Genomic DNA, 11,936 nt, shown 5'->3' on the forward strand with positions numbered 1-11,936 from the left:
TTTGAAAAATCAAAAGTTTAATTGGCCCTCCATATCTGTGGGTTTTGCATCTATAGATTCAACCGACTGTGGATTGAAAATATTTGGAAAAGCTGGATGCAGTGGTGTGTGCCTGTAGTCCCAGCTACAAGGAGGAGGATGCCTTGAGCCCGGGTGTTTGAGTTCAGCCTGGGCAACAGAGTGAGATCCTGTCTTTTGGTTGTTGTTGGCTGTGTTTCTTTTTCTTTCTTCCTTTTCCTTCTTTCTTTCTTTCTTTCTTTCTCTTTCTTTTTCCATCCTTCCTTCCTTCTTTCCTTCCTTTCCTTCCTTCCTTCCCTTCCTTCCCCCCTTCCCCTTCCTCCCTTCTTTCCTTCCTCCCTCCCTCCCTCCTTTCTCTCTCTCTTTCTTTCTTTCCTTCTTTCTTTCTTTTCTTTCTTTCTTTTTTTTTTTTCAGGATCTCACTCTGTCATCCATGCTGGAGCACAATGGTGCAATCATAGTACACTACAATCTTGACATCCCAGGTTCAAGCAATCCTCCCACCTCAGCCTCCTGAAGAGCTAGGAGCACAGGTGCATGCCACCATGCCCAACTACTTTTTAAAACAGTTTTTGTAGAGACTGGGTCTCACCGTGTTTCCCAGGCTGGTCTTGAATTCCTGGTATCAAGCCATCCTCCCACCTCAGCCTCCTGAAGTGCTGGAATTACAGGCATAAGCCACTGTACCTGTCTCTTAAAAATAAATTTAAAGGTGGGGAACGGTGGCTCATGCCTGTAATCCCAGCACTTTGGGAGGCCGAGGTGGGTGGATCACCTGAGATCAGGAGTTTGAGACCAGCCTGGCTAACATGATGAAACTCTGTCTCTACTAAAAATACAAAATTAGCCGGGCGTGGTGATATATACCTGTAATCCCAGCTACTCGGGAGGCTGAGGCAGGAGAATCACTTGAACCCAGGAGGTGGAGGTTGCAGTGAGCCGAGATCGCGCCACTGCACTCCAGCCTGGGCAAAAAGAGCAAAACTCCATCTCAAAAAATAAAAATAATAAAATAATAAATAAATAAAATAAAAATAAAATAATAAAATAAAAAATAAATAAAAATAAAATTTAAGACCCTGTCTCTTAAAACAAATAAACAAATAAATACAATTTTTACAAAGGAAAATATTTGGGAAAAAAATAGTTAACTGCATCTGGACTAAACATGGACAGACCTTTATTGTCATTGTCCCCCAAACAATGCAGTATAACAACTATTTACATAGCACGTATGCCATATTAGGTATTGTAAGTAACCTAGAGATGATTTAAAATATACAGGAGTGGCCGGGCACAGTGGATCACGTCTGTAATCCCAACACTTCGGGAGGCCGCGGATCACCTGAGGTCAGGAGTTCGAAACCAGCCTGGCCAATATGGCGAAACCCCATCTCTACTAAAAGTATAAAAATTAGCTGGGCGTGGTGGTGCACACCTGTAGTCCTAGCTACTTGGGAGACCGAAGCAGGAAGATCACTTGAACCTGGGAGGTGGAGGTTGCTGTGAGCCGAGATCATGCCACTGCACTCCAGCCTTGGTGACAGTGAGACTCAGTCTTAAAAAGAAAAAAAAAAAAAGAAAAATTAAGTATACAGGAGCACCTGTAGTCCCAGGCTGCGGCTGAGGCAGAAGGATCGCTTGAGCCTGGGAGATCGAGGCTGCAGTGGGCTGTGATTGCATTACTATGCTCCAGCCGGGGTAACACAGCCAGACCCGTATCTCTAAAAATAATAATAATGGTAACAATAGTAATAAAGTATACAGGAGGATATATATAGGCTATATGCAAATACGACACTATTTCGTATAAGGCACTGGAGCATCTGTGGATTTTGGTATCCGCAGGGGTGAAGGAAGGGCAGGGGAGAGGAAAGAGCCTCCCAGGCACAGGGAGCAGCAAGTGCAAAGGCCCTGAGAGGGGAATGAGGTTGGCGGGTCTACAGAACAGCAAGGAAATCATGAGGCTGGAGCTCCAGAGATTATGTCAAATAAAAAGGAGCAGTCGGCTGGGCGCGGTGGCTCACGCCTGTAATCCCAGCACTTTGGGAGGCCAAGGTGGGCAGATCACGAGGTCAAGAGATCGAGACCATCCTGGCCAACATGGTGAACCCCTGTCTCTACTAAAAATACAAAAATTAGCCAGGTGTGATGGCACACACCTGTAGTCCCAGCTACTCAGGAGGCTGAGGCAAGAGAATCACTTGAACCCGGGGGGCGGAGGTTGCAGTGAGCCGAGATCGCGCCACTGCACTCCAGCCTGGGCGATGACAGAGTGAGACTCCGTCTCCAAAAAAAAAAACAACAAAACAACAACAAAAACAGCAGTCACCAGGGGCCACATGGTGTGCGACTCCCATGGATATGAAATGTCCAGAACAGACTAATCCACAGAGACAGGAGAGACAAGAGGCAGATTAGTGGTGGCCAGGGGTTAGGGGAGGGGAGTGGGGAGTGACTGCTGATGGGGACAGGGTCTCCTTCTGGGGGGTTGCGAATGTTCTGGAACTAGATAGAGTGATGGTTGCACAACACTGTGAATGGCTAAATGCCACTGGATTGTTTGCTTTAAAATTATTAATGTGATAGGCCAGGCGCGGTGGCTCACGCATGTAATCCTAGCAGTTTGGGAGGTTGAGGCGGGCACATCATTTGAGGTCAGAAGTTCGAGACCAGCCTGGACAACATGGTGAAACCCCATCTCTACTAAACATACAAAATTAGTTGGGCATGGTGGCGCATGTCTGTAATCCCAGCTACTCAGGAGGCTGAGGCAGGAGAATCGCTTGAATCCTGGAGTGGGAGGTTGCAGTGAGCCGAGATTGCGTCACTGCACTCCAGCCTGGGAGACAGAGTGAGACTCTGTCTCAAAAAAATAAAATAAAATAAAATAAAATAAACAAACAAAATTTAAAAAATTAACGTGATAAAGAAAAAAGAGGATGACTGTTTTCTGAGATTATGAAAATGTTCTGAACTTATATATATATACACTTATATATACATATTTTAATCTATATTTTTGTGTATGTATATATTTATGCTTTATGTATGTAAAACATAATATATATGTGTGAATAAAACATAAATATATACATACATGAAAGTATATATACATATATACAAAAACAAATATATACATAAATATATAAATATATACTATATATATATTTTTATCAATGTTTTGCCATAAACATTCTTTTGTGTCCATTGACTCTTTTTTTTAAATTTTTTTGTTTTTGAGATAGAGTCCCACTCTGTCGCCCAGGCTGGAGTGCAATGACATGATCTTGGCTCCCTGCAACCTCCGCCTCCCAGGTTCAAGCAATCTTCCTGCCTCAGCCTCCCAAGTAGCTGAGATTACAGGCGCCTGCCACCACACCCAGCTAATTTTTGTATTTTTAGTAGAAACAAGGTTTTGCCATGTTGGCCAGGCTAGTCTCGAACCCCTGACCTCAACTGATTCACCCACCTTGGCCTTCCAAAGTGTTGGGTTTACAGGCGTGAGCCACTGTGCCAGCCTATTTTTATTATTTTTACTTTTTTTTTTAGAGACAGGGACTCACTATGTTGCCCGGCTTGTCTCGGACTCCTGGGCTCAAGTGACCCTCCCACTTCGGCCCCTGAAAGTGCTGGGATTACAGGTGTGAGCCACCTGGCCCAGTCATATCCTTGTTCTGTTATTGTATTTTATTTCATTTATAATTTCCACCATCAATTTCACAGGGTACATGTGCATGTCTGCTACATGGGTATATTGAGTGATGCTGAGATTTGGGGTACGAATGATCCCATCACTGAGGTAGTGAGCATGGTACCCAAGAGGAATTTTGTTAGCCCTTGACCCTCTTCCTCCTTCCCCATTCCAGTAGTCCCCAGTATCTGTTGTTCCCATCTTTATGTTGGGGACACTTTTTTTTTTTGAGACAGAGTCTCACTCTGTTGCCCAGGCTGGAGTGTAGTGGTCCAGTCTTGGCTCACTGCAACCTCTGCTTCCCAGGTTCAAGCGAGTTTCCTGCCTCAGCTTCCCGAGGAGCTGGGATTACAGGCGCACACCACCACACCCAGCTAACTTTCGTATTTTTAGTAGAGACGGGGTTTTGCCTTGTTGGCCAGGCTGGTCTCGATTCGAACTCCTGAGCTCAGGCGATCTGCCCGCCTCAGCCTCCCAACGTGCTGGGATTACAGGCATGAGCCACCCTGCCCAGCCTGGGATTACTTTTATAAGGACAGTAATCCCATTCCCCAGAGCGCCATCCTCATAACCTAATCACAGCCTGATGAACTTTTTGTTTATTAAGCAGAATCTCCATTTGTCTGTTATATGTTGCAAATATTTCCTCCACATCTCTCATGATGTGCCTTCCAACTGCAGTTTATCCTCCTGAAGTTTTACATTTCTACATAATCCAGTTGGTCAGTTTTTCCCCTTTATGCCTTCCAAATTGTACGTTTTGCTTAGCAAATAGCTCTCTAAGATTATTATATTTATTTATTTATTTTGAGACAAGGTCTTGCTGTGTTGCTGAGGCTGGAGTGCAGAGGAGTGATCATAGCTCACTCCAGCCTCAACCTCCTGCGCTCAAATGATCCTCCCACCTCAGCTTCCCGAGTAGCTAGGACCACAGGTGCATGCCACCCCACCTGGCTAATTATTTTTTTGCAAGATTATAAAAATGATGAGAGAAATCCTATAATTTTTCTAGAAGTTGCCCCTTTTTTACGTGGTTATTAATTTTAGACACTCTTAGATGCTGAATCTTTATAAAACTCAATTATCTGTTTAGTATTCAACATCTGGGGCAACTGATTGACTCCCAACCAGTTGTGGCCCTCTGAATTTTGCTTTGCCACATTTCATTATTTTCCATTTGGACAGGTTCTATCAATTTAACCAACAGAGAGAGGCTCTCAAAACAAAACAAAAGTAAAAAGAGGCTGGGCACAGTGGCTCACGCCTGTAATCCCAGCACTTTGGAAGGCCGAGGCGGGTGGATCACCTGAGGTCAGGAGCTTGAGACCAGCCTGGCCAATGTGGTGAAACCCCATCTCTACTAAAAATACAAAAATTAGCCAGGCGCGGTGGCACATGCCTGTAATCCCAGCTACTCAGGAAGCTGAGGCATGAGAATTGCTTGAACCCATGAGACACAGGTTGCAGTGAGCCAAGATTATGCCACTGAACTCCAGCCTGGGTGACAGAGCAAGACTCCATCTCAAAATAGTAATAATAACAATAATAATAATAATAATAATAATAATAATCATCATCATCATCATCATCATCATCATCATCATCATCATAGGCCAGGCGCGGCGGCTCATGCCTGTAATCCCAGCACTGTGGGAGGCCGAGGTGGGTAGATCACCTGAGGTCAGGAGTTCGAGACCAGCCTGGCCAACATGATGAAACTGTGTCTCTACTAAAAATACAAAAAATTTGCCAAGTGTGGTGGTGGGCACCTGTAATCCCAGCTACTCGAGAGGCTGAAACAGGAGAATTGCTTGAACCCGGGAAGTGAAGGTTGCAATAAGCCAGGGCCACGCCACTGCACTCCAGCCTGGGCAACAAGAGCAAAACTTCATCTCAAAATAATAATAATAATAATAATAATAATAATAATAATAATAATAATAATAATAAAAGGCCAGGCATGGTGGCTCATGCCTGTAATCCCAGCACTTGGGAGGCTCAGGTGGGTGGATCGCTTGAGGCCAGGAGTTCAAGGCCAGCCTCGCCAACATAGTCAAACCCGTCTCCACTAAAAATAGAAAAAATTAGCCAGGCATGGCGGCAGGTGCCTGTAATCCCAGCTACATGGGAGGCTGAGGCACGAGAATCACTTGAACCCAGGAGGCAGAGGTTGCAGTGAACCAAGATTGAGCCACTGCATTCCAGCCTGGGTGACAGAGAGAGTCCGTCAAAAAAAAAAAAAAAAAAAGAGGGTTACATAATTGTTTTGAAATAATTATCCTTGATTACAAAAATCAATAATGAGGGTGTGGCTGGACAGGAAGTTGCTGGGCAGATTGCCTTGCAGATGTATTTTTTCTGTAAGGTTGCAGTAGCCTTTGTGCAAGGTTGTGATTTTTGTAGTTTTTTCTGTTATTAGGCATACAAGCGTGAGAACTCTTTCTCCATAGCCTTCCTTTATAGCCTGTTTGCCAGGGTTTTCTTAATGTTATTGACTCCATTTTTATTCTGATGACTTTCACAATTCAATTCCATCCATCTTTTCTTTGGTAAATGAGGGTATTTCCAAGCTGACAAGCATTTTAATAGTTGCAAGGCCAAAATGTTCCCAGCTAATATACTCTCCCCTACCCTGGCCTGCTGCAGGAGAGGTGAGGTGTGTGAAAATATTTGCCAAAGGGACCCTCGCCAACTCTGCTTCAAAGGATTACACGCTGCACTTGTGGAACTTACTCTCTGGCCAGGAGAAATTTACCATTTGGGATGGAGGCTCAAAAAATCCCGCTGAACCTCAGATCTGGAACCTTCATGTGGATGAGGCACACAAAGTTGTGTATTCAGCATCTGGCTCAAAGGTAACAAACATATGCCCTGTTTGTAAAGGAAAGCTGAGACCAGAGCATTCAAAGACAGAATAGGCCATTTCTATAAGGAGGGCTCCCTGATACAGTGATGGGGTGGGGGTGTAAATGGAGTACACAACCACTTGAGAGGGTGCTATAAGAGGTTTCAGACTTCATAGTTGGATTAGACAATCCTGATAATTCTTTCTGACCCCAAGATTTGAAACCTTTCATCTTTTTTGAATATCAGCATTTTAGGGCTATAAATTTCCCTCAAAGTACTGCTTTACCTACATCCTGTAAATTTTGACGTGTGTTTTCATTTACATTCAGTTTAAAATACTTTCAGATTTCACTTTTGATTTCTTCTTTGATCCATGGGCTATTTAAAAGTATACTATTAGTTTCCAGATATTTGAGGAATTTCTGGATAGGGTCCTGTTCTGTATTTTTTTTCTAATTAAATTCCATTTTGATGATGTAAAACCTTTCAAATTCATTGAGACTTCTTTTATAGTCTCTCTCTCTCCTCTCTCTCTTTTTTTTTTTTTTTTTTTGAGATGGAGTCCTGCTCTGTCGCCCAGGCTGGAGTACAGTGGTACAATCTCAGCTCACTGCAACCTCCACCTCCCAGGTTGAAGTGATTCTCCTGCCTCAGGCTCCTGAATAGCTGGGACTACAGGCGCACGCCACCACGCCCAGCTAATTTTTGTATTTTTAGTAGAGACAGGGTTTCACCATGTTGGCCAGGCTGGTCTCAAACTCTTGACCTCAGGTGATCCACCTGCCTTGGCCTCCCAAAGTGCTGGGATTACAGGCCTGAGCCATCATGCCTAGCTTGTTTTATAGTCTCTCTAAATGATCTGTGGGCTTCTGAAAACAATGTCTGTTCCACTGTGTTATTCCATTACATCAATCATAACCCTGTGATTTCATAGTTTTATAAATGGAGACACACAATAACTTCGTGGGTGATAGCTTACTAATTGATGCCAGGAGGAAAAAAAATCTTTATTTAACTACCAGTTGAGTTTCTTGGGAACTCAGTGACCTTGGTTGTGTCATTCACCATTCTGAGTCTTATTGCTGCCTCTTCCTCATAAGATCATGAGACATATCCTGGCATAGTGCTTAGCACACTGTAAGCACCAAATAATTGATATCTATTTATTATTATGTTACATAAGTAATTGGTGGTTGTTGACAGTAATATCAGTGCATATAAATCATGCTGCCCAAAATAGGAGTCACCAACCAGATGTACCTATTAAACACTTGAAATTCGGGGGGTAGGGGGTAAGGGGAGGGAGAGCATTAGGACAAATACCTAATGCATGTGGGGCTTAAAACCTAGATGACGGGTTGATAGTTGCAGCAAACCACCATGGCACATGTATACCTATGTAACAAACCTGCACGTTCGGCACATGTATCCCAAAACTGAAAGTAACATTAAAAAAAAATAAATAAATAAATAAATAAATAAATAAATAAAAACACTTGAAATGTGACTGTCCCAACATGCTGAAATTCAAAGACCTAGTATAGTAAAAATAATATAAACCATCTCAATAATAATTTTTGTATTGATTACATGTTGAAGTGATACCACTTGGACATATTAGGTTGAATAAAATATAATACTAAAATTGATTTCACTTGTTTCTTTGTACCTTTTGTAAGGTAGCTAATGAGTTTAAAATCACATGTGAGGCCTGGCCCACCTCTCCTTTTTTTCTCTGAATTGGGAGTGTTAAAAATAAAATGCATAGGCCGGGTGCAGTGGCTCACACTCATAATCCCAGCACTTTGAGAGGCTGAGCAGGGAGGATAGTTTGAGCCCAGGAGCTCAGGAGCAGCCTGGGCAACATAGTCAGACCCTGCCTCTACAAAAACAAATTTAAAAATAGCCAGGCATGGTGGTGCGTGTCTGTGGTCCCAGCTTCTTGGGAGGCTGAGGCAGGAGGATTGCTTGAGCCCAGGAGGTCGATGCTGCAGTGAGCCATGATTGCACCACTGCACTCCAGCCTGGGTGAAAAAGAGAGGCTCTGTCTCCAAAAGAAAAGAAAATGCATAAAGTATACAAGAGAAGGCATCTTGCATTTGACTCCGGGAAACTTGTAGTCTAGGTCTCCTGCCAAGATGCTGCTTCCTCTTCATTATTCTATTAGATCAATGCTTGGAATCTGGAAACTGCAGAGCCGGTATTCCATATCCTGGGAGATGCCTCTGATCCTTGGATGTGCATGGCCGTGCTGGCCTCCCAGGCCACACTGCTGACAGTGTCCAGGGATGGTGTGGTCAGTCTGTGGAGCTCAGCTACGGGAAAACTTCAGGGGAAGCAACATATGTCCAGCATCAAAGAAGAAACACCTACCTGTGCCGTCTCAGTCCAGAAGCAAGGAAAGCTTGTTACCGGGTTTAGCAATGGCTCCATCTCTTTGGTAAGCACCTTTACTGACTATGATGTGAACATTAACTCAGCTTGAAAGTGCTCAGATGTGCTAGAAGTTGGGAAAAATAATCTTGCCTTGTATCTTTGTTTTGTTTTGGAGATGAAGTTTCACTTTTGTTGCCCAGGCTGGAGTGCAATGGTGTAATCTCAGCTCACTGCAACCTCCGCCTCTCGGGTTCAAGCGATTCTCACTGCCTCAGCCTTCCGAGTAGCTGGGATTACAGGCAAGTGCCACCACGCCTGGCTAATTTTGTGTTTTTAGTAGAGACAGGGTTTCTCCATGTTGGTCAGGCTGGTCTCAAACTCCCAACCTCAGATGATCTGCCCACCTCGGCCTCCCAGAGTACTGGGATTACAGGCATGAGCCACCGTGCCCGGCCACACGCTTGGCTTCTTAATCGTAGGGATTTGCAGTTCAGCACAGTTCAGGAAACATCTGTTGGCGTCTCTTGGGGACTGACCAATGTGGGCAATTGTTGAAGCTCAGTCCTTCAGGGGATCTCTAAGACATGGTGTGGAATGAGGTTGAGAGTTGCGCCACAGAGGGACTAGGAGTTGGGCTCTATCCACCTGCCCTGTTGGTGGTTGGTGGACGGCTGCTTTCATGGACATTAACATATAGACTGGCTGGGCGCTGTGTCTCACTCCTGTAATCCCAGCACTTTGGGAGGCTGAGGGGGGGTGGATCATTTGAGGTCAGGAGTTCGAGACCAGCCTGGCCAACATGGCAAAACCCTGTCTTTACTAAAAGTACAAAAATTGACCAGGCACGGTGGCTCACACCTGTAATGCCAGCACTTTGGGAGGCCGGGGCAGGTGGATCACCTGAGGTTGGGAGTTCGAGACCAGCCTGGCCAACATGAAGAAACCTCATCTCTACTAAAAAAGCATACAAAAAATTAGCCGGGCGTGGTGGTGAGCACCTGTAATCCCAACTACTTGGGAGGCTGAGGCAGGAGAATTGCTTGAACCTAGGAGGTGGAGGATGCAGTGAGCCAAGATTGCACCACTGCACTCCAGCCTGGACATTAAGAGCAAAACTCCATCTCAGAACAAAACAAAAAACAACAGCAACAAAAACAAAAGCCCAAAAATTAGCCGGGTGTGGTGGTGGGTGCCTGTGATCCCTGCTACTAGGGAGGCTGAGGCAGGAGAATCACTTGAACCCGGGAGGTGGAGGTTGCAGTGAGCCGAGATCATGCCATTGCACTCCAGCCTGGGTGACAGATCAAAACTCCATCTCAAAAAAAAAAAAAAAAAAAGAAAGGAATCATGGTGGTGCATACTTGTACTCCCAGCTACTTGAGAGGCTGATGTGGGAGGATCATTTGAGCTTAGGAGGTGGAGGCTGCAGTGAGCCAAGATTGCACCACTGCACTCCAGCCTGAGTGACAGAGCCAGGCCCTGTCTCAAAAAAATTAAAAAATAAAAAAAAAAAGAAAAGAAAAGAAGAAGAAGAATCATCCCAAATCCCAAAGCTCCACATTTCTGAACCTCATGACCTGTGGTCTTCATGAGTTCTCAAGGTACCAAATACAACAACGAAAGATACTCCCAAATCCTTGGGGTTGTTTTTCTTTTTCTCAAGCCTCTTTGCAGATATTTTGTTTTGTTTTTTGAGACAGGGTCTTACTTTATCTCTCAGGCGGGAGTGCAGTGGCACGATCATGGCTCCCTGCAGCCTCGACCTCCCGGGCTCAAGACGTCCTCTCGCCTCAGCCTCCTGAGTAGCTGGGACTACAGGCGCATGCCCCCATGCCTGGCTAATTATTATTATTATTATTTTGTAGAGGTGGGGGTCTCACTATGTTGCCTAGGCTGGTTTCAAACTTATGGGCTCATTCAGCCTTCCAAAGTGCTGGGATTACAGGCGTGACCCACTGTACCTGGCCAGAATTTGTTTTTTACCTTTTTTTTTTAACTGTTTTTTTGTTTTTTGGTTTTTGGTTGTTTTTTTTTTTGAGACTGAGTCTTGCTCTGTCGCCCAGACTGGAATGCAGTGGCGCAATCTCGGCTCACTGAAACCTCCACCTCCCAGCTTCAAGCGATTCTCCTGCCTCCGCCTCCCCAGTAGCTGGGACTACGGGCATGTGCCACCACGCCCGGCTAATTTTTGTATTTTTAGTAGAGATGGGGTTTCACCATGTTGGCCAGGATAGTCTCAAACTCCTGACCTCGAGTGATCCACCCACTTCGGTCTCCCAAAGTGCTGGGATTACAAGCATGAGCCGCCACACCTGGCCAACTTTTATGTTTTTAATTTAAAAAATTTTTTAGAGACAGAGTCTCAGTCTGTCACCCTGGCTGCAATGCAGTGGCACAATCATAGCTCACTGCAGCCTCCAACTCCTAGGGGCACAAGTGATCCTCCTGCTTGAGCCTCCTGAGTAGCTGGGACCACAGGGGTGTACCACCATGCCCAGCTAAAATTTTTATTAAGAGATGGAGTCAGCTAGGCATGGTGGCTCACGCCTGTAATCCCAGCACTTTGGGAGGCCAAGGTGGGCGGATCACCTGAGATCAAGAGTTTGAGACCAGCTTGGCCCACATGGTGAAACCCCATCTCTACTAAAAATACAAAAATTAGCCGGGCATGGTGGCAGGTGCCTGTAATCCCAGCTACTTGGGAGGCTGAGGCAGGGGAATTGCTTGAACCCGGGAGGCGGAGGTTGCAGTGAGCCAAGATCATACCACCGCACTCCTGCCTGGGAGACAGAGTGAGACTCCATCTCAAAAACAAAAAAAATAAAAATTAAAAAATTAAAAAATTCCAGACTTGTAACCCTTAACCCGTGGAAGTGCCTGACAGGCATCCCTGGTTCTGCACAGGTTTCCTCCAAAGGGGACAGATTGCTGGAGAAGCTTCCAGATGCTGTGAGGTTCCTGGTGGTCTCTGAAGATGAGTCCCTCCTCGCCGCAGGTAGCG

At 45.0% G+C, this 11,936-nt stretch overlaps 1 protein-coding gene across 10 annotated transcripts in view; it reads left to right on the forward strand.

Moving 5' to 3' along the window:
• The window catches only part of NWD1 (NACHT and WD repeat domain containing 1), a 98,117-nt gene that overhangs the window by 62,777 nt on the left and 23,404 nt on the right, over positions 1-11,936 (forward strand). For 9 of the 10 annotated variants that reach the window (XM_011527929.2, XM_024451466.2, XM_011527930.3 and 6 more), the window contains 3 exons: positions 6,359-6,567; positions 8,727-8,999; positions 11,840-11,930. In XM_011527929.2, the coding sequence (XP_011526231.1) occupies positions 6,359-6,567; positions 8,727-8,999; positions 11,840-11,930 (573 nt within the window). The remainder of the gene's footprint in view (positions 1-6,358; positions 6,568-8,726; positions 9,000-11,839; positions 11,931-11,936) is intronic. The other variant, XM_047438676.1, reaches the window with a different exon arrangement.

This window comes from Homo sapiens, chromosome 19 (assembly GCF_000001405.40).
Source record: "Homo sapiens chromosome 19, GRCh38.p14 Primary Assembly".
NCBI classification, from domain to species: Eukaryota; Metazoa; Chordata; class Mammalia; order Primates; family Hominidae; genus Homo; species Homo sapiens.